Here is a 23,763-nt window from a genome sequence, read left to right as displayed (position 1 = left end):
CATGGCATATTATAAAGAAGGCATAGGATAATGTTTCAAAGGGAAGAGAGCAAGTAGGGAACATGGCTTCCAGTGTGAGTGTACCAAGTGATTCTTTATACTGAGTAAGAAAACCAACAATAGGCCGGACACAGTGGTTCATGTTGTAATCCCAGCACTTTGGGAGGCCAAGGCAGGAGGATCACATGAGCTCAGGAGTTCGAGATGAGCCTGGGCAAGATAACAAAACCTCATCTCTACTAAAAATGAAAACAAATTAGCTGGGCGTGGTCATGCATGCCTTGTAGTCTCAGCTACTAAGGAGGCTGAGGTGGGAGGATCACTTGAGCCGAGGAGATGGAGGCTGTAGTAAGCTATGACCATGCCATTGTACTCTAGCCTGAGTGACAGAACAAGAACTTGTCTCCAAAAAAAAAAAAAAAAAAAAAAGGCCAGGTGCAGTGGCTCATGCCTGTAATCCCAGCACTTTGGGAGGCCAAGGTGGGTGGATCACCTGAGGTCAGGAGTTCCAGACCAGCCTAGATAACATGGTGAAACCCTGTCTCTACTAAAAATACAAAATTAGCCAGGCGTGGTAGTGCATGCATAATCCCAGCTACTCATGAGGCTGAGGCAGGAGAATCATTTGAATCCAGGAAGCAGAGGTCGCAGTGAGCCAAGATCATGCCATTGCACTCCAGCCTGGGCAAAAAGAGTTAAATTCTGTCAAAAAAAAAAAAAAAGAAGAAGAAGGAAGCGGGGAGGGGAGGGGCAGAAGGCAAAAAGAAATAAGATGGAAAAAGTAAAGTATCACGAGAGTGATCGGTCAACAACATATTGCTAAGTGTCTAGTTGTCCCATACATGGAGCACTGTCCTAAGTATTTTTGGGCGGTGCCCAAGGTGAGGATAAGGCTTACAGAGAAATGAGAGCGATAGCATCTGTGCTTACAAGGACCTGGCAGCCTATACAGGGTGACAAAACATACACACATGAAGGTATAACTAAAGATATAAATTAGTGTGCAAAAAGTGCAAAATGAGCACTGAAAACAGAGCAAGGACAGATCACCACATGCTGAAGTGAAGGAAGGTTGTATGAAAGAGGTGGCATACCAGCTCTGTCTTAAAAGAGAAAGAAGAATCCACGATAACATGTCAAGGGAAACACACACACAGAGCTGCAAGTGGAATTTGCCAGGTATAGTTGTCTTCCCTTATCCACGGGGGATATGGTCCAAGACTCCCAGTAAATGCCTGAAACAGAAACATAGTACCAACCCCTATGCCATATGCACTATGTTTTTTCCATTTGATGGCTAGATGGCTACCAAATGACTAATGGACAGGCAGTGTATACAGTGGCTACTCTGGCAAAGGGATAATTCACATCCAGAGCAGGAACGGCATGGGAAGGCATGAGATTGCATCACATTATTCAGGATGGCACACAATTTAATCCTTACAAATTGTCTATTTCTGAAATTTTCCATTTAGTATTTTCAGACCACAGTTGACCGCAGGTAATAGAAATCACCGAAAGCAAAACTGTGCATAAGGGGAAAAGTGGAGAAATCCAGATGAAGCAAGACTTGGTTGGGATCATGGCAGGAAGTGAGCTTGGAAAAGTATTCTGGGGAAAAGACCGTGGAGAAGTGGAGAGATAAGACTGAGAAGCAAAGAAATTTCAAGGGCATTTCAGAGGGAGAAAAATTAAGAGAAGATTAAAAAAAAATAAGGGAAAGGAAAGAAAAATGATGTTACAAAGCATTTATCACTAGATAAAAATTAGATTTTATGTCTGTATGTATAAAAAAGGAAGTAAGTCAAACAAGAGTTAACAACCTGAATAAATAAGAAGTCACACTAATCTATACAGTCATCATTAAAATCCCAGTAGAAATACAGAAAAGGCGCTTGTAGAGAATTTACAGCAGCCAATAAGTAAACAACCAATAAAACATAACAATAAAAGTTCCAATAAAACAAATAATTCACAAAGAATGAAAGTTAAAGTAACAAATAAAGTATTATTTTTCATGTTAGATGAAGGAGGTCTTAAAAGTGGGTCAGTATTGTCTCAGGTAAGAAAGATGAGCAATCTGAAATGTTAGAGTTCAAGGCATACAACTTTTCTGCGAAGTGATTTAGCAATGTGCAAAGGAGGCCTTAAAAAGACACAATAATTCTTATATAGAAACATAACTTGATAAAATAATCAGGAATCCAGAAAAACTATTCACACTCAAAGATCCTCTTTACAGCATTTCTTAACCTAACCCATAGATCACTACCAACGTAATTAGTGAAGAAGAAAACCCATAGGGAAATGGTAAAATGAATTGTGATAGAGTCCTACCAAGAATTACAATGTAACCATTAAATAACATGTTTATTGTTATAGAGAGAAGTGAAGAATCTAAAATGTATGTGCAGTGTGATTCCACTTATATAAAAAATACATATAGACATAAGCACATAGAAACACATTCTAAAAGGAAATACATTCAAATTACCTCTAGATTATATGATTGCAGGTTATTTTTATTTTTTTCTGGAGGTCTTTCTGTATTTTTCCAAATTTTCTATACTAAGTATGACTTACTATATAGTTAAAAATTATATTTGGATATTGAAAAATGAAATAACTATTTTATTTGCAAATATTGTTTGGAGATAACTGTGCAGGGAAAGTGAAAATACCTGTACTCAGCTGCTTAGCAATAGAGCCCTAATTCCCCAGATAAAAGCATATTTCCCCTCTAAATCCTGTGACAATGTATGACAGTAAAGATGATGTACAGGATTTTTCCCTCCACATTTTATTGTCCGCAAAAAATTACTTCTGGAAGTTCTTTCATCATTGTTTCCTCAGTAGGAAGGTATATTTATAAGAAGAGTAAATTTCAACTCTGTTTTGGGTCTTGATTTTTCCAAAAGGCCTACACTTCACAGAATATACAACTCCACCCTCCTCTCTCCTTCTCAGTCTCCATTTCTGTCTGCCTCTCTCTGCCTTGATCTGCGTGTGTGTTTCTCTGTTTCCATGTGTGTCTGTCTCTCTCTTGTAATGTACAGGCTTTTCCTAAAGATTGCTCTCAGATCAGAATAGCAGTGTTTTCTTTGACTTCTTCTGTACTTTATGTAATGTTGAGAATAGCACCCTCTGTTCAAAAACAATTTAAAAGTTTCAAAAAGACAATTCAATTTTAGTTGTACATTTAGGATATTTACAAGCACCACAGGAAACAACTGCATATGTGATATCATACAAAAAAGGCTAAACCAGTATGTCAGAAGTCCACATTGATACTCATTTCAGATGACATGTGAGGAACTGCTTTCTCAGAGCAAATACTCAGTCCATGCTGGGACTGGGGCAGTAAGTAGAAGCTGGCAACAGCCCATCACTGCAAAGAGGGAAAAAAACGTGGTGGTAACTCCAAATGAAAGAGAGAAGCTTGACATTTTTCTATTACCAAACCAGGCAATTAAAACATTAAATGTGAAATCTGAAGCACTGTAAATTTCCTAATATGGTAGAAGTGCTGAGTTTCCCAAATGATGTTTTCTCATCTTTCAACATATCAAAGAGCATGCCAAAACCCCGAAGAAACATTTCCATTTTGAAAACAAAAATAAACCACACACATCCACATTCTATTAATAGTGTTGTCTTGCCTTAGAGACCCTGTGTCCTTAGTCAAAAACCCCACTTCAGTTTACATACATTTTAACATTAATGAAAACTCCTGTCCAAAGTAAACTGGACATGTGTAGGTGAATTAGGTGGGACTGGGGCAAAAGTAATCAAATCCCTTTTTTATTTTCCTTACTGGAGACCAAATGTTATGTTCTTCATCGTCACAGCTAAGGACTTTGTAAATATGTTCTACCTCTTTAGCAGCATTTCTTAAGAGAGGAAAGTTGGCATAAGATATGCAGGTTCAAGCCAACTCCAGACATTTAGAGGGATCGCAGGATAGAGGGACATGGGCTTACAACTGGAAATCCCAGCAGAAATTGCCAGGTGAAGCAAAGCACACGTCAAAGATCTCCAAATCCAGACTCTATACTCTTGATCCTGCCGCCACGAAAAAGAAAAAAGCTGTCCCATGGCATTTTATGTCCAAAAACAGGGAAAAGCCATTTAATATGATGCCTTCTTCCTCCATTCAAACGCCCATGAGCTGCTACCAATGTGCTCAGCAGAGAGTCAACTGCTTGGGTGAGTACAACAGGAAGTGTGTGACATCGAGGCTGCTCATTAGATGCTTCTATTTTTGAGTAAAGAAAAGAACCAACACATCAAATAACTATAAGAAAGAACAAAAGATCATTTATTCCAGCCCAAAAAATTGACCATGCAACTAAAATGGTTAGTTCAACCCCACAGTGGTTTGGGGGAAAGAAGCTATTATCACCTGCCTGCACAGAAGATGTTAAATGTTTAAGCTCTGAGTCCTGGCCCTACGATGTCTCTACAAGAGCAAGGAAAAGGGAAAACTAGACTGATACAGCAACCACCCCTGATCAGGTAAGGTGGGGAGGAATGGAGAGAATTGACTCCAAGGTACCACCTCAAATGTAGCTAGGAAGAAAAGAAAGTATGGTGCTATGGTAAGGTAAAAATATCGTATCTCTATTTTTATTTTTTGAGACAGGTTCTCACTCTGTTACCCCAGGCTAGAGTGCAGTGGCACAATCACAGCTCACTGCAAGCTCCACCTCCCAGCCTCAAGCCATCCTCCCACCTCAGCCTCCCAAGTTGCTGGAACTACAGGGGGGCATCACTATGCCTGGATAATGTTTGTATTTTTTGTAGAGATGAGGTTTCACCATGTTCCCCAGGCAAAAATCATCTCTTTTAAGCCAACAGACCCAGATTCAAATCCTGCCCCAGCTACTTGCTAGTTGAACTGGGCAAGTGGATTAACTTCTGTTTTCCATTCCTTTCATGTAACACTTATCTATCACTGCATGCCAGGCACGCTTCTAAGTACTTTACAATTTAATCCCAACAACAAACAATTGAGGTTAGTTCTGATATTATCCCCACTTTACAAATGGAGAAACTGAGGCACCAAGTAGTCCTATACCTCGAAAGTGGCCAAGTTATCATTTGAATCCTGGCAAAATCATTGATTTCGGCGGTCTGGCTCCAAAATCCCATCTCTGAAGCTCTACATTGCCATATTTATAAAAGACTTACTTTTCAGTGAAATATATGTACAGTACCCAGCACAGTGCCTGACATTTTGCAGAAGTTGAATAATTTACCTCCCTTCCCTCACTTCTCCCTATTCTCTCTCCCCACACTGTGGGAGGCTGGAGGCAAGATTCTGCACACACAGAAAGGCAACTACGCCAATCCGCAAAGGCCCAGGGGCTCTAGGGCAAGCTAGAAAACAACCCTCTGTCTTAATCCCCTGACGCCTGGAACAAGAGCTCTAACTCAAACAGAGATGTCCGGCATTTCCAGCCAGAGACTGCCTCTATTTATTACAATCTGCATTCAAGGCACAAGGGCTGCAGACAAGCCTTAGGGAAACTGAAAGGTTTGTGATTTTTGCACTAGCAGCTGTATACATATATGTCTAACACAAACACAACACCCCCCCACCCACGTCTAAAACTTATATTGTTCCTACCAGAGGGAAAAATGATCTACTTTCCAGAACCTTCCATTTCCTAGAAGTTGGCAGAGTTTCTGTATCAGGCTGCGGCTTCTTTAGGACAGCCTGTATATTTCTGGGGAGCTAAAGGATGGAGTCTCTTTTGAAAATTAGTAAGAACAAATTAGGCCCAGTGGCCCAGGGGAGCTGTGTTGTAAAACATGAGAAAACTTTGTTTTCCAACTCTTTGGCAGTATTTTCATAAACTGATGACAATGAAAGGACAGAGATTATTTTTGTACATTGATATTATTCTAAAATATCATGGAGAAAGGTGTGAATGTTATCAGTTAAATGATTTAGTTGGGTAAATAGTGACTGCACAAAATAGAGGATTTATATCACTGGATTTTTCTAAGTACGCAATGAGGACATGTTGCTAATTATAAGAAGTTCACACATGCTACCACATAAGAATGCTTTCTACACAATCTTTCTCTTTCTCCTTAATTAATAAAAAGACCTATGTTACGCTACGGGAACATAAGAAAATTATTATGCGAAAAAAAATCACTATAATCAAGCATTGAAACTATCACTATCACACTGACCCTGAGAATTTGCTAACGTAGTTTAAAAGTAATTAAGAAGGAAAGCTAGCCTTCTACATTTTCAGTCTCGGTCACTGTGGCTACTGGGTTCATCGATGATTGCCAAATCTTGCAAAACTACAGTCCTCTTATCCATGTGGTTTTTAAAACTATAAGCTTCTATTGTGAATAAGCTTGATTTTCTGCTTTAGAAATCCATCAACTGCCAGTCTGTTCTCACGGCATATTGCTAAGAGAGACTCCACAAAGAGCCCAGGTGCATACACCATGAATCAAGTTCTTCATACATTTTAATTACAGTTTATCACAAGTGGGAGAGGTAAGTGAAGAAGGCTTCTTCATAAAATGTTCATTAGAAATGGCAATTTTCCATAGGGGAAACAAAGATGGCATCCTTCAACTTGTTAATCTGAAAAAGTCCCCAGATGTGAATTGTGCCTCTGTAAAAATCATATGCAAACCACATTTAGGCCTGTGGCTCAGCCCAAAACTTTTGAAGAGGGGAGTAAGGGACAAGGAAGGAAACGGAGTGAGCAGTGAAAGAGGAAGATGAAGTTTCTCAGACTTTGTGGACATGTACAAAACAGTTCTTTCTACTTACTATTTAAGCTATTACCCCCTTGCAGGGGGGAGGTTTGTTATCTCCTTAGCCATTTCAAAAGCCTTGGGAGGGAGCAAGCCAGTAAGGGAGTTTTTCTGTGTGTGTCTGTGAGTCAGCAGAAGCCGGAAGCCTTACAAAAAGACTTCAAACAACAAGCTGGAGAGCAGGACAATAGCTTCCACCTCCAGACAGTGAGAAATTGCATTATCCTGAGGGATCACGGCCACCCATGCTCAATGGAGATAAGTAAGAACATTCTCTGCTCTGGCCAATAGGAGATCTGCAGCTACAGCTGCTCACAGAAGCTCTGGGTGGCCTCCATTCCAGCGGCTCCAAAAGGTTTCAAGGCACAAAAACACTGCTGCCGGGTGGTGCTCCCAAGTGCAGGGGGTGGAGGGGAGAGGCTGACGAAGACGAGGGTGGCAAGCTGCATCCCCCCACCAGGTGCTCCAAATCCCCTCTCCCAGCTCAGGGAAATCACAAAGAGGTCTCCAGGCGGATTCCAGCCAGGCGGCTGGTGCAGAGCCTGTGCCTCACCACCACCCACAGCAATGAATGGAAACTGCCCCAGAGACTCCAGAAAGTGGGGAGAAATTCCCTGCTGAGCAGTTCAGTGCTCTAGGAGCAATAGTGTAATTAATGGCACTTACTGAAAGAGCGGGGCATTCCAAATTCAGCCACAAGGAAGAAAGACGCCTTACCACACACCCTACACAGCAGGCACAAAGCCCCTTGTCATGTTCCCTTTAGAGACTCAGGCAAATCTGATCAGGAACTGACATTCGCAGTACAGTTTTACATTTACCAAAAGGCATTAACTGTCCCCTGAGAGAAGAAAAAAATCTTCACATTTGACGGAAAGTTATGTGAAAGTTACAGTATGAGCTCACTTTGAGGATACCATAAGTCACATAGAGGAATTACCTGAGTAAAAACATTTATTTCACTTATTAATAGTATCTGATATCCAGTTTTATAGTACTTCTTATGTTTCCCATTGTCATAGGTTATATATATATGTTTTTAATTTATTTTGAGACAGGGTCTTGTTCTGTTGCCCAGGCTGGAGTGCAGTGGTGAGATCACAGCTCACTGCAGCCTCCAACTCCCAGGCTTAAGCAATCCTCCCACATCAGCCTCCCAAGTAGCTGAGACCACAGGCATGTGCCACCACACCCTGCTAATTTTTTTAATTTTTTTTGTAGAGACAGAGTCTCACTATATTGCCCATGTCGGTTATATTTTTAAATCTTTCCTTGCCTACAGCTAATATCTACATAGTATGTTTGATTGACAAGAAAAAAAAAAAACTAGTTGGAAAGTATCAGATATGCTGCTAATACAGAAATCTCATATTTGCATATAGTCCCCAGACCAAACAACCCCTCTGCAGAACCTAATGTTGTACAGAAACTCTTTTTAAAGAAAGAGTATATATTTTTATTTTCTTTATTTACATATATACATACACACATAAAAAGAGAGACACACTTATGAGTGTGTGTGACCGTGACAAGCAAGAAGGGATTCTAGAAGGATGCAGAAGATGGGAAAGGTAGTACTAGAACTGGAGCACTGCTACCACCTGAATGCTGACAATAACATTTCATGCAAAACCAAAATGGATGGAGGTTTTAAAAATTAAAATTAACTTGTCTGGCAACTAGTGCATTGAAGTGGAGGTTGAAAGACTAGGGAGACCTTTTCCACTCAGCCCTTGATTTGCTGTGGGGCCTACATCAAGTTGTGCTATGCCTCTGTTATAACGTCTGCAAAATGGAGATAACACTTCCTGCTACCTACCTCAGAGAGCTGTTAGAAGATTAGATACCGAAAAAGAAAATCCTCAAAGCCCTTTAAGTTTCTCATACATATAAGACATGCAATGTAATAAAACACCCGTACTCTCTACAAAAGCCCTGAGAGACTCACGGCTATAGAAATAGGAAACAGACGCCAGCTGTACAGCATGGATGCATTCACAATCAGGGAGGCTGGCTGCAGATTCCAGTGACAAGGCAGGGAAAATAACTCTGACATTCACATGTACTCAGACAAAACACCCAGGAAAAGGGAGGAAAATAGTATTGTTTCAGTAGAGCACCAGTAAGTGAAAAGAAGCAATCTTCACAGATAACATTCCTAATTCCTGCTTAAAAGTCTGGATCTACAAGAAGACAATCAAGTGACAACATTACACTGGTAGCCTTTAAGGTTTAGAAAAATCTCATATTAAAGTAAATTGGGCCAAGTAGAGTGGCTCACGCCTGTAATCCTAGCACTTTGGGAAGCTGAGATGGGAGGACCACTTGAGCCCAGTTTGAGACCAGCCTGGGCAACACAAGGATACCCCTATCTCTACAAACAATAACAATTTTAAAAATTAGCCAAGCATGGTGGCACACACCTGTGGTGCCAGCTACTCGGGAGGCTGAGGTGGGAGGATTGCTTGAGTGCAGGAGGTCAAGTCTGCAGTGAGCTGTGATCAAGCCACTGCACTCCAGCCTGGATGACAGAGCAAGCCTCTGTCTCAAAAATAAAATAAAATAAGTAAATTGGCTCTCTAGAGGGGTAAGGGTAATAACCCCCACACTGAACAAAATGTAAAGAAGAGAATGCATAAATTACAGTATTTTAAATTAATTTATACTGGAAACAAAAGCCATGCTTGACTGTACATAGCCATCTAAGGAAAATAATTACTCTTGGGTCCATAAGGAAATTGGGAGAAAAGTATTAAATGTTCATCTATTCTAAGATATTCTGAATTATGAAAAGTTTAAAATTCAAATTAATCAATTAATTAAACACATATTATTATTATATCAAGGATGTATTGTGAGTTCCATGTCAGGTTAAAATTAAAAAAGATGAATAATATCCTTTTCCTGGTTCTCATGAACCTCAAAGTCCAGCAAGGAGAGACAGAGACAAAATAAAGTATAACACAATGTGGGAAGGGTTTGAGTCAAGTATAAACAGAGTGCTAAGGAAGAACAGAGGGAAGATGTAATTGATTCTGTATGGAAAAGAGGAGGGGGAGGGGCTTAGGAAAGTCTCAGAGAATTTGACACTTAAACAAGACCTTGCAAAATGTACAATATTTCACCCAATATAGAGCAAGGGGAAGGGGCATTTTAGATAAATAAATGGCAGCCCACATCTCAAGGCATGTCTACATATGTCCGAGTTAAGTGTCACACAACGCAGACAGCCCGGAAGGGCCTGGATTGCAAGGTCTTTGTGAGGAAGGAGGCATCACAGGACGAGATTTTTGAAAAGAGACTTGGTATTTTCTACAACTCAATAAAAGAGAAGGAGGCAAGTGTACAGGAAGAGAAGCAGCAGGAACAGGAGGTAGCCCTGGCCCCTGGGCCTGAGACAGACCTTGGGGAAACCGACAGCATTGCTAAGGCCAGTTCTGTAGGTAGAGGTGAGGAAGACAAAGAGGCAGAGAAGCAGGAAGGCATAGTGCACTGAACCATGACTCAGAAATGGTCAAGAGTGGGACTTCCAGGAGAAGTAGCAGGCCCAACCTAGATGGACAGTGTAGTACACAGAATAATGGCCACCAATATATCAGGTCCTAATCTCTGGGACCTGTAAATGTTACCTTCTATGCAAAGACTTTGCAGATGTGATGAAATTAAAGATCTTGAGATGGGGGGATTATTTTGAATTATCTAGTTGGGCCTTAAATGTCATTACATGTATGCTTCTAAGAGGGAAGCAGAGGCAGATTTGACTACAGATGGAAGACAGGAAGGCAATGTGGCCGTGGAGGGGGCAGATATTGGAGTGATGAGGCCACAAGCCAAGGGATGTCAGCAGTTTCCAGAAGCTGGAAGAGAGAAGGAACAGATTCTCCCCCAGAGCCTCTGGCAGGAGCTCAGCCCTGTCAAAACCTAAATGTCTGTTGTTTTAAGGTGCCAAGTTTGTGGTAATTTGCTACAGCAGCCAGAGGAAATTAATACACACAGTGAACAAAGAGTCACCCCCAGCTGTTCTTAGATGCCACCATCACCAGTCTTGATAAGAATCATTCAGACCAAGGGCAGTGACTCACGCCTATAATCCCAGCACTTTGGGAGGCCAAGGTGGGAGGGTAGCTTGAGGCCAGGAGTTTGAGACCACCTTGGGCAGCAAAGCGAGACCTCATCTCAACAAAAAATAAAAATTAGCCAGGTATGGTGGTACACGCCTATAGTCCCAGCTACTTAGGAGGCTGAAGGAGGAGGACTGTTGGAGCCCAGGAGTTCCAGCCTGCAGTGAGCTATGATTTTACCACTGTGCTCCAGCCTGGGCAACAGAACAAGACCCCATCTTAAAAAAAAAAAAAAAAGAAGAAGAATTCAGATGGAAGGCACTCCAACTCTCAAGAATAAATTGAAGTCTAAGCTGCCACGTTAGAGGAAGACAAGATTATTAACCTTAGTAACTAGTCAAAATTTAGGAACAGAAACCCAGGTATAATCCTAGACTAGGTTAATACAAGGTGGCTGGAAGAACTATAAATAGAAGCCACCAAATGACAACATGTTGGGGAAGGAAAGTGGGTCTGAATAGTAGTGGGAACAACAGGAAAGACACAGCAACCCAGAGGTCATTACTGGGCCACCAAATTTCTGGTAGGATAGTCATTTTAATTTTAAGTGCCCATTGGATAGGGGAAGAGATGAGGGGAGAATGGAAAACGTTTACATGTACTATGTCTCAATCAGCACTGATTCAGAAACTGGACCAGAACTAGACCACCAAATCAAAGACATCAGGGAATACAGGTGTGGGAAGATTATGGCAAAGAGAAAGATGGGGCATGAAATGCTGAAAATCTTGAAATACACTCTTCAGTCAATAACAAAAGTAACATAAGGAGATCCACCTGAGAAGGGTGGGAGCAGTAGGGACTGTCCATGATAGACTAGATAGCCCAGTAAGAAGGTGACTGAACCAGCCAGGGCCGGAGATGGTCAGGGCCAAATAGGAGAATGGGGAAATGGGGGTGAATTAGAGAAATATTTGGAAGGCATGGCAAACTGCTTGAATAGGGAATGAGTGACTGGGGAGCAGGGGACAGCAGAGAAATGAGAACAACGATCTTTGAAGCACAAAACTCAAAGGAAAAAGTGTTAAAACAGACAGAATGAGTTTGTCTCTGGCTCTATTGAGTTTTGTGTGTGGGTGGGTCATGCCAGGAGTGACACGTAGAGAGCATTGGGATCTGAAACCAGAAGAATGTCATAAATGTTTGAACGTTTGAAAAAGTTATCTGTACTGTACTCTTTCATCTTTTTTCTGATTCATCACTATGAAAGGACCCAATGAAGGTTCCTACAATTTTGATATCCTAAAAACAAAATGTTTGAACTATACTCATATTACCTACTTACAAGAAAAACCTCACATCTCCAGCACTTTAAAGTAAATGCATTAAAATTTTTCTAAGAGGGACAAAAAATTCTTACCATTAGCCACTTCCTTCTTCTGTCTGTTTGTTTTGAGGACATCTGGTGAAACAGACAATGGAGAACAGCCATCCATGGGTCGGGGGGAATTGAGAAGGATGTTCAGTAGTAACCCAGGGATGACTTGGTGACGGAAAAGAAGGCACACATTTTAAATCTGCAGAGGACATCAAATTAGATGTGGTTGAGCAGTAAATGCAGATCCTATAAAGAGGAAAAAAAGACCAATATGTTCACTGATATGAACTACCTGGGTAAAAAGGATAAGGAAAAAAAAATTAATGAAGATACAGGTTTATCTGGGGAAGAAAATGTATGTTAATCAGATGTGAAAATGACTCATTTTTGCTTACAGCTATAGATTCTATATCCCCTTTTACCAAAGAGCTTAGGTGTAGAGTGGTGCCCTACTGGAGAATGCAGGCAGCTCCCCGCTCTTGCCTGCGATTTTTCACGGCTGGTACTAGCTGAAACATGGAAATGGCTTAGAGGGAGCAGCGTGTGACATTCTGGATTAGATAGTTGGTACGCATGACAATGTGGGAAGGCAGCACAGTGTAATTCAATGATGCAAAGGATGATGATATAATCCCCATCCTTAAGCAATTGTGTGTGTTAAGATAAATAAGGTTCTTGGCCCAATAACAAAGACCATGGCAATGCAGAGGTGACCAGAAAACAGCACCTTTATCCTAGTCAGCTGTTGCATTTAAAAACAAATATATTCACAGTGAGGAAATAAAAGACCTAGGAAAATATGTAAATAAACAAGTAAACATATGCGCAAATAGAAGCCTTATTTTTTATGACCTATTATTGGAAACACATTTTGGTTGTCTCCAATTAAACTTTGAAACTCATGAGAAGTCCTGACCACATACTGCTATTCTGGAATAGAGGACAGCATCATCAAAAACCCCAAATGTGCCCAGCAATGAAAGACACTGCCTTACATTTGCACAGTCCTTCTATGAATGCTGCCTCATATGCCATCTCATTGGATCCCAAGTAGAGCAGTGTATGTGTTGACTTCCCCAAGTTTTGGGAGAGGATTACTCCACATTCTCTTATTTAGTACCTACTATGGTATATAAATCATACTGAGGGACACAGAAACCTAATATTAATAATACCTGCCCTTAGGGAGTTATCAAAATGGACAGGTAACATGTGTTCACCCAAGGCAAGAAATGAGAGATAAAGAAAGTGCAGGTTCTGAGTCTCCTAGTGAAGAGGTATAGATGAAGGAGAACAGGAAGACTTGAGCTGAAGCTTGAAGGATGGCAGAGAGATACCTGAGTGGAAACAGAGTGAAGGAGATTCTAAAGCATTCAAATAAAGGAAGAATGGGCCTGGTGTGATGGTAGTTTTGACACTAAACACAAAAAGGAAATTCCTGCTGCAGAGTAGAAGATGCTGAGAACAAATTAGGAGCAGGGCCAAATGAAGACAAACTGATGGAGGAATCTGGGCTTTCCTCAGAACCACTGTAAGTTTTGAATCAGGAGTGAAAGATAAAATATAGGCTTTAGAAGGTTAGTCAGAAAGCTACCAAGGGAATATGGGACTAAATAACCATATCATACAGACTGGTTAGGAGGCTGTTATGCTAACATAGGCATGAAGCCATGAGTTCTTGACCAGGGAGATGGTTGGGAGAAAGAGTACTACTGAAGAATTTAAAAGGTTTCAATGACTGTGGGGATAAGGAGGATAAAGGAGAGGAAAAAGTGAAGAATAGCTAGGGATTACACCTCACTAAGCAGAAGAATAAGAATATATCACCAGTGAGCCATTGAGGAGGAAGGAGGAAGAACCAGTTTGGGGATTCTCTTTTGAAGACACCTCAATTTGAGGTGAGGATGGTATTATAACCCAGATGAGATACCTTCTGGAGGGGTCAGAGCAAATGTGAGCAGTCCAGAGTGAAGATGGATTAGAAGTCATTATGGATGGGAGTTGAAGTCATATAGGTTTAGAGAAACTATTTAGAGAAAGAATTCAGGGGCTAAGGGCTGAGAAGATTGTGGAATTTCTCAAACACACATCACAGCTTTTGATTTTAGTGGCAAACCATCAGGAAAAATTCTAAACCAAAGAACTTGGAAATACTTCAGAGACAAGATCGGACTTATACGGGGGCCATAGTTCTCAAAACATTCCAAAGACAAACATCTAACAAGCAAAAGTCATCCTAAAATATCAAACTGCCAATTTCATGGTCAGTAATGACATTAAATAGAGTTCTGTTGAATTTGACTCTATAAATAAATTATGGTTCACTAATAACCTGATTTTAATCACTTAACACCATGACAAAAAAAAATCCAATGTCACCAACATGTATGTAGGGTCTGATATTTTTAGCCCTCCACTGACAACCATAAAAAACAACACTGACATACACGTGTATGGTTTCCTAGAACGCTAAATACTATAAGCTTCTGTGTCAAAGAGCCACTCAAGGTTTTGAGTAAACCCGATATTCTCTTTGGTTGTTTTCAAGCTTCTGGTAGAGAACATGAAGCTAGAAGGTTTCCAAGGCTGCATAAACAGAGTGTTCAGGAGCTTGGCATTGACTCAGGGGAGGGGAGGAATAACATGGCTTCTGCATACATATGAAAACACATAACAGTCAAATCCTATCTTCCAGTTGAAGATGTTCCAGTGAACATATTAGAAACAAAGATTTACACCTCCCTTCTGGCTCATTTTCTCTCCCTCTTCCAAAACCCGCCAAAAGTGAGAAGCCACTTTTTCAAACAATACAATCTAAAAACAATAGCTAACATTTATTTGTTACTAATTTATTTAGCAACGATGGCTAACACTTATTTAATACTTATTATGTACCTGGTACTGTTCTAAGCTCTTCACAAAGAACTTATGCAGCAGGTACTATTATTATTCACTGCATTTTACTTAAGGAGAAACCAAGGCACAGAGAGACAAAGTCACCCAAGGTTGCAGCCTTAGTGTACAGTGGAGCCAGGACCAGAATCCAAGCAGCCTGATTCCAGTGTCTCACACTCAATTCCCCTCCTAGCTATACTGTTTCTCAGGCCCGTGCTCCAACATGCCACCTGTTAAAAAAAAAAAAGTAAACAATTGTTCAAAGATAGTAAACACTGTCAATGACATAAGTGTTTCTGATTATTTCAAAAATCTCCAAGAGGACCAGACACAAACAAGTCCAAAGAGAGTAGCAACATGTATATACACAGAAAACTTTCTGAGAATAGTTTAAATAAAAAAGATTCCACTTGGCTATGAAGAAACCTTTCACCATTTTAGGGTGACCAAAAGAAAAATGAAATGAGCTGTATTAAAAAAAAGTTGGAAGCATCTGCTCCTGAACAACTTTTCTTTTTAAGCGATTCTCCTGAAAGACTCATGTTTATCTATCTTAGAATTTGAACCAAATACAGATTTGCTTTTATTATGATCACTTCAGGATTTTGTACTTACTATCCTAATTTTTCTCTCATTTTCTGTAATTTTAGTCTAAATCTGGGTTGAAAAGAATTACACAGGGATTTGGCACTTAATCCTTGGTAAGCATGACAACTTTCATTAAAAACTTATGTTTCAGCTGGGTGTGGTGGCTCACACCTGCTATCTGAGAACTTTGGGAGGCTGAGACAGAAGGATAGCTTAAGCCCAGGAGTTTGAGACCACGCTGGGTAGCAAGGGGAGACTCCATCTCCACAATAAATAAATTAACCAGGCATGGTAGTGTGTGCCTGTAGCTCCAACTACTCAAGAGGCTGGGGTAGGAGGATTGCTTGAGCCCAAGAGACCAAGGCTACAGTGAGCCAGGATTGCACCAATGTACTCCAGGCTGAATGACAGAACGAGAGCCTGCCTGTCTGTCTCTCTCTCTCTCTCTCACACACACACACACAAACACACGACCCTGACGTTCGACCTGTGTTTGCGAAGAACAGATTTTAATTGAAGACCTTCACAACTAAGAATCCAGTTAATTGTATTATTGATTCTCCTAATATTTCTCTAGATCCAGTGTTCTTATTTGTCTAATTTTATCTATAAGGTGGCATATTTATTTGCCACCTTATTTCAAAACGTAGAGTTAAAGAAAATGCTCCTAAACATAGCAATTGAAAGGCAGAGAAAAAAGCAATCAAGGATTTTTTGAAGATACGATACTTTCCACATGATTCTCATTCAAATATGGGTAGAGGAAGATACAATTTTTGGAGTCAATCTCCCATGATCCTGTGATGATCCAGAGGCTGACAACACAGAACACAAATACCAGGTCTGTCCAAAGGGTTCTACCAGGCCAAATTGTCAGAGAGGGGTTTTAGGAGCAGGGTGCTAGAAACAGCAATAAAACCTTTATCAACAGCTGCCAGAGGGGCTGAACCTCACCTCAACCCAAACACGTGTGTATCGCTACAATAGCTCCTAGTGAATCCTTCGTTCAATGCCACGATGGTGTGGAGAGCGTTGCATGAAATGGGTGGCCACATTGCTCTCTCCCCAGCCACACACCTCTAACAGTGCTAATGCCCAAAAGCAATTACCATCCAGGTGGGGCAGCATCCTAATATAGACAGATACCTAAGATGAACAAGCAAAAAAAAAAAATTTTTTTTTTTTTAAAGGCAGAGTCTTGCTCTGTCATCAGGCTGGAGTGCAATGGCGCAATCTCGGCTCACTGCAACCTCCGACTCCCGGGTTCAAGTGATTCTCCTGCCTCAGCCTTGCGAATAGCTGGGATTACAGGCACGCACCACCACGCCTAGCTAATTTTTGTATTTTTAGTAGAGACAGGGTTTCACCATGTTGGCCAGGGTGGTCTCGATCTCCTGACCTCGTGATCTGGCCGCCTCAGCCTCCCGAAGTGCCGGGATTATAGGCGTGAGCCACCGCGCCTGGCCACTGCAAAGAGGCTTTCAAACTCAGCGTCAGTGAGCACAATAAGAGCCAGAAGCTCAGCATTCAAAACAACAACAAAACAAACTTTGAAATTAGTTCCCATCAGTAGCTTTAGGAAGGCATGAAATTTTAGGACTTCTCTGTACTTTTAAAATCTTAGCTACTTAGATCAGCAGACCCAAACTTTTTGGCACCAGGGACCAGTTTCATGAAAGACAATTTTTCCACGGATGGCGGTGGGGGTCAGGGGGTGCTTTTGGAATGAAACTGTTCCACCTCAGATCATCAGGCATTAGTTAGATTATCATAAGAAGCGCGCAACCTAGATCCCTGGCATGTGCAGTTCACAATAGGGTTGGTGCTCTATGAGAAATTAATGCCGCCTTTGATCAGACAGGAGGCGGAGCTCTGGCAGTAATGCTCGCCCACCCCTCATCTCCTGCTGTGCGTCCCGGTTCCTAACAGGCCACAGACTGGTACAGGTCCATGGCCCAGGGGTTGGGGACCCCTGGCCTAGATCTATGCCTGCAGGAATAAAAAAAGCTGCAGGCAGATTTAAGCAACATAAAACTTTCCTTAAATCATACTTCCGGCCAGGCGCAGCGGCTCATGCCTGTAATCCCAGCACTTTGGGAGGCCGAGATGGGCGGATCATTTGGGGTCAGAAGTTCAAAACCAGCCTGGCCACCATGGTGAGACCCCGTCTCTACTTAAAATACAAAAATTAGCCGGGCGTGGTGGTGGGCGCCTGTAATCCCAGATACTTGGGAGGCTGAGGCAGGGGAATCGCTTGAGCTCAGGAGGCGGAGGCTGCAGTGAGCTGAGATCGCATCACTGCACTCCAGCCTGGGAGACTTCGTCTCAAAAAATAATAACAATAATAATCATACTTTCTTCTTATCGTTCTCTTCTTCCAAAATGTTTCTTAATGCTTCATCCTACATGGAGCAATGGAAGCCAGTGCTTTTCAAACAGCATTACACAGAAAACTAGCATGCAGGGTAGCTGTTCGTGAGTATTCTGGGAAGCAGTCTGTGTTCAAAGTGTGAGAGACGTGGCATGCTATGATTCTACCTCCTTGGGAATGCATAGTATGTATTAGCAAATTCAAGACTGTGAGAAGTCCATGTACACTTTGTGGACTATGATGTTGCCTACACTCATGTGATCACAGAATGCATTTTCACAAATCACTTCGTGGGTTAACTGGGCTACAGAGAATACAGTTTAGGAAATGCTGCTCTACACCCCTGTGCTTACCATTCAAGACTTAACAATCTGACCCTGGCCGGGCGCGGTGGCTCACGCCTGTAATCCCAGCACTTTGGGAGGCCGAGGCAGGTGGATCAGGAGGTCAGGAGATCAAGACCATCCTGGCTAACATGGTGAAACCCCCGCCTCTACTAAAAATACAAAAAAAATTAGCTGACCGTGGTGGCGGGCACCTGTAGTCCCAGCTACTCAGGAGGCTGGGGCAGAAGAATGGCATGAACCCAGGAGGTGGAGCTTGCAGTGAGCTGAGATCGCACCACTGCACTCCAGCCTGGGCAACAGAGCAAGACTCCGTCTCAAAAAAAAAAAAAAAAAAAAATCTGACCCCAGTTATCCTTAACCATATTCAACAACAAACATTCATGATTCTGATGTGTACTGCAGATCTTACATACCATTTCATACCATTTTTCCCTAGAGAAAACCCCTGCTCTGGTCAAGTTCATCTCCTTCCCATGTCCTAAACAGATATTGATTCCAATGTTCTGTTCACACATTCCCCATGCTAGAATTTCTACCTTCAATCATTTTGTTCAACTTAATCCTTCAACACTTGAGATAAAATCCCACCTCCTATGAGACTCTGCGACATAATGCCTTCTTTCTTTCCCTGGAATAAGCCACCCCAAACACAATGGTACTTGCTTGGGATTCACCTGCCCCTCTAGTATTATAAGTCCATATTTGCCGTACGTATGTCTGGTCCCTCAGCTACCCAAGGACTGGCTGAGAGCAGGCTCTAAGCTCTTAGCTTCTTCCTACAATATCTAATACATGGTATTTTCCTCCAATACAGCAGATACTCCATACCTAAGTGCTGGTGGATTAGGAAACGCGTGGTATTTCATATATTGCTTTCATCATTAAATAACCGACGGACACTGGAATAACTCAAAACACTTAAGAAGTAGGCACTTTTTTTTTTTTGAGATGGAGTTTCGCTCTTGTTGCCCAGGCTGGAGTGCAATGGCGTGATCTCGGCTCACCGCAACCTCCACATCCCGGGTTAAGCGATTCTCCTGCCTCAGTCTCCCGAGTAGCTGGGATTACAGGTGTCCGCCACCACGCCCAGCTAATTTTTTTGTATTTTTAGTTGAGACGAGGTTTCACCATGTTGGCCAGGCTGGTCTCGAATTCCAACCTCAGGTGATCTGCCCGCCTCGGCCTCCCAAAGTGTGAGCCACCACACCCGGCCAGAACATTTTTATTCTCTGGAAAATAGTGTGGTCTGGTGTAAAAAGCATCTGAAGAATACAATTAACTTAGATCTCTAAATTGAAATCTCAAAAATCCCTTAAGAATGACTTAATGTACATGGATATAGTAGGCCACATGCTCAGACCTTTAAAAAAGCATTGAAATTTCCACACCGTCTGCAAGCACAGGGTTCATTCCTTACTGACTACTCTGTATGTCAGATATCACAACTTCAGATATATTTATGTATTAAATATTTTGTAATAGTTTACACACTAGGCTTATTTTATTCCCTCTCCAGGATATCCACATGGACCTCTGCCTTTTAGAAAGCCTCAGATGACACTTGCCTACAAGATAGCAACTACAAGGCATATCCATCTTTATGGAGAAAATAAGTTCATACCTAGAAGTATCTGATATTGGCAAAATCAAACCAAAAACGACTACAGATGTCTAAAGATGCAGAGTATTCAACACACAATTCCAGACTTCAAAGTAAGTGTATGATATACCTGGATAGAATACAAAACATATTTGCTAATATGACACATGAAAAACTGTTCAGCTAGGATAGCTAGCACAATAGTCAAGTTTTAGGTTTTTCAGATGAAAAGAACAGCCAATATACCATTAATATATAATGGCTGAAATGCTATAAAAGCGGAGCATTATGTCCATAATCAGAATGACTGCTCTGTGGCATAGATTCAGGAGCATTTTCACACATGTCCTTGTGAAGCAGGAAAGAGGACTGATGAAAAGTCCTGGAGCAAGTTGTCCAGGTTCAAATCCTGGTTCCATTTCTTACGAGGCATATGACTTGGGGCAAATTTCTTCTCTGAGCTACACTCAGTTTCCTCGTCTAACAAATGGGGACAAAGTGGTATTGACTCCATTGTGTTGCTGTGAAATTTCAATGAGAGGATGCTCATGAAGCAATTTGAACATCGCTTAGCACATAGAAAGCACTGGATACACGTTAACTTTATTACATTCCTGTGACTTAAGTACAACACAGATCCTAACACTGGCTGCAAATAGTAACTAGCACACAAACCTCCATCAGGCTCTCTTTAACGTTATTCTGTGCTGTTGTGTGGATTTCTCATTGCGAGAACAGAAAAGGTTGCTGTGGGAGGTCATTACCAACAAAAACCAACAGGCCCTACATCCTGCTTATTTCCTGTAGAGGAGGTAAAATGACAGCTTTAGGCAAGGGATCATCCTCTCTGGGAAATCCAGTAGGCAATCTAAATGACAATTCTGCTATCAGCATATCTGTGGAAGTTGTGAGTGGGTGTTATGTGGTCATTCGTGGGCATGTATTTACATTTTACCTGCATGTGATTTTAGCACTGTACACAGTACGAAAAAATCATTCAATGCAGAATGACTTGTTCATGTTCGTGACTTTGAAAATGAATAACATCAACGTTTTCCGCTCTTTTCTGGATCAAAGGAAAAAGCCGCACAAGGAAAATCTAGGTTTTAATCATTCTTTCGTTTCCTTTAACACGTTAATGAATGCTTTATGGAAAAAGGGGGGAGCATGCATTTCTATCCTATTATAATTAAAAAAGCTCTTCAAATAACTAGACATTCGGAAGTTCTTTTCATTATCAAATAACTGTAAATTAGTTTATCAAAGTCTTAAAGGGTGTCGCTTAGGGAAAGATCTGAAACTCAAACCTACTTGCTAACATTTCTGATTATTATTTGTTCTTTCTTTCCAGTCTCTGTTTCTTAGTTTTTTCCTATACCTCACATGCACGACTCTGTTTTTACTTTTGGATCTCATACTTCTTTCATGTCTTCTAAGATACCTTTTCTTTTTACCTTTTTATTAAGCTGACTAAACTTCATGGTGGCTAATTTAGCACGTGAATTTTCAGCATCATTACTTACTAAAAGTCAAGTCTCTCCAGCCTGGCCAACATGGTGAAACCCCGTCTCTACTAAAAATACAAAAATTAGCCAGGCATGGTGGCGTGCACCTGTAATCCCAGCTACTCGGGAGGCTGAGGCAGGAGAATCACTTGAACCCGGAAGGCAGAGGTTGCAGTGAGCTGAGATTGCTCCACTGCACTAGAGCCTGGGTGACAGAGCGAGACTCCATCTCAAAAAAAGAAAAAAAAAGTCAAGTCTCATTTTCCCCCTTACTTCCCCCAACTCTGCTCCTCTTGTACTTCGAGAAGGATTGGTTTTTGGCATCTGATAATGATATAAAGTGGAAGTGACAGAGTGTAAACTGCAAACTACATCCAGCTTCAAAGCAGCCTGCGGAAGTCAATGCCATCCATGAGAACCTGGTCTCCTTCTCTGAAGATGGAAAGACCAGATTCCCACACATTGTAGTATTCCCTGCCACAGGGTATAGAAACTAAATGGATTAAATGGTAAATACATAAAGTGAAAATAGTTTTGTATTATAGCATATATTGAAAAGTCATGGTACATATATATAAAATATATATCAAATATTTGTCATCTATGTAAAGATACATGTAATAAAATATATTTCTACACATATATAGAAACAAGTAATTTTACATCTTCTCTAATGATATCTAGTGATGATTCTATTATTTCCTTAAGGAAATGAGATTCTGAGATTTTATTGTGGTCTGATGAACACATTCTCATTATAAAAATGCCTGAATTTTGCATTTGCCCGGTGGAGCAGGTCCTGGAATAACATCATCATGTTCAACATTGTTTTGTTATAATGATGATAAGAAAAAAAAAATCAGTTCCTAGATGTGGGCCACTGTCTGGGTGGAGTCTGCATGTTCTCCTCACGTCTATGGTAGGTTTTCTCCTAATAGTCAGGCTTCCTCCCACATCCCAGAGCTGTGCACAGCAGATGAATTGGCGTGTCTGCATTGTTCCTATGTTGTGGGTGGGTGTGGGTGTGTGTGAGCACACCCTGTGATTGGATGGCAGCCTGTCCAGAGATGGTGCCCACCCTGAGCTGCCTGCCAGATGAGGTTCCTGGCCACCTGTGACCCTGAACTGAATTATCTTGTTTTTAATAATCTTTAAGTCTATGTATAGCTCACATTTATTTCAAAGTTTAACATTAGAAGTGCTTTGGGTCTTAGTTTATATGTTTGGTGATGTTTCTGTGACCAAAATATGCCATATCCATTAGCCTATGGTAAAACTGGTTTTGTTATATATAGTTTCACTTAAGGTCAGAGTTTACAAGCAACTATTACCAATGTTCAGTGAAGACTGACAACTGTCTACTAACGTGCCCAAGGGCCCAGAAATCATAACATCCCATGCTTTAGTTCATGCTGTCATTATTTCTATGTAGTAATATTTCATTGAGATAATCACCAATATGTTAACTTTCCAACCTATGTTCACTTTGAAAAGATTCTGGCATTTTTATTCAGATTTAGGGAGGGTTATACTTCCATTAAACTAAAATCTCTTAACAGATTTTAAGGTCATTTAGCTCAAGTTCCTTTCCCGCTCTGTCAACCGCAGAAGAAACTAGGGGATACAACTCCCTTTCCCTGAATTTCATGTAAAACTGGTTCATCTTTGAATCCATCTAAAAGTAGGATTTGTGAATGAAGAACTATAAAGGATACAAAAAATAGTTTTATCTCAGTACCATTTAAGCACACAAACTCAGCATTAGCATGAGGCGCCACCAAAATATATGAGGCAGGAGGGTCGGCTCTCTGACTACCTGCCTGTCCCCCCTCCACCTCCCCGTCTAACTGTTGTTCACTCCATTTGCTTTTTGTGCAAGCGACAGACTGACCAATGGCTAAATAAAAAGGGTCTGGCACCATTTTACCTTGATTTGTAGAGGTCACTGACCCCAATTTTCAAAATGAATTGCTTTAGAAATGCATTTTTTTAAGTAATCCAGAAGAGAGATGTCAGGTTTACCTTCAATTATTTAATAACCTAACAAGATAGCCAGCTACAGGCCAAATTGTGAAGTTGGTTAAATTTTGGGAGGGCTTTCTGAAATCCTTTTCTAGCTCCCCTTTATTCATTCCAGCCACCTATAAAATGACCATCCTTTTCATTCTCAAGCATCCATCGCTTTCATCCTGACCTCCTCCACCTTTCCCATCCCTTCCCGGGATCCCT

The 23,763-nt window shown here is 41.1% G+C and overlaps 1 long non-coding RNA gene across 1 annotated transcript in view, besides 2 other annotated features; it reads right to left on the bottom strand.

Annotated features, from left to right (window-relative positions):
- The window catches only part of CASC15 (cancer susceptibility 15), a 529,408-nt gene that overhangs the window by 163,008 nt on the left and 342,637 nt on the right, over positions 1-23,763 (bottom strand). The window contains exon 7 of the long non-coding RNA NR_015410.2: positions 12,271-12,474. This is a non-coding gene — a long non-coding RNA (cancer susceptibility 15). The remainder of the gene's footprint in view (positions 1-12,270; positions 12,475-23,763) is intronic.
- Positions 4,976-5,687: an enhancer, noted in NCBI's record as "H3K27ac hESC enhancer chr6:22027355-22028066 (GRCh37/hg19 assembly coordinates)". NCBI's record gives its function as "activates a minimal SCP1, AML or CMV promoter by ChIP-STARR-seq in primed H9 embryonic stem cells {active_cell/tissue: H9 hESC(primed)}" and the evidence as "EXISTENCE:reporter gene assay evidence [ECO:0000049][PMID:30033119]".
- Positions 6,703-6,872: an enhancer, noted in NCBI's record as "active region_24147". NCBI's record gives its function as "activates an Ori minimal core promoter by ATAC-STARR-seq in GM12878 lymphoblastoid cells {active_cell/tissue: GM12878}" and the evidence as "EXISTENCE:reporter gene assay evidence [ECO:0000049][PMID:35858748]".

The sequence above is a fragment of the Homo sapiens genome, chromosome 6 (genome assembly GCF_000001405.40).
Source record: "Homo sapiens chromosome 6, GRCh38.p14 Primary Assembly".
In the NCBI taxonomy this organism is placed as follows: domain Eukaryota; kingdom Metazoa; phylum Chordata; class Mammalia; order Primates; family Hominidae; genus Homo; species Homo sapiens.
This window is presented reverse-complemented; position numbering and strand designations above follow the sequence as displayed.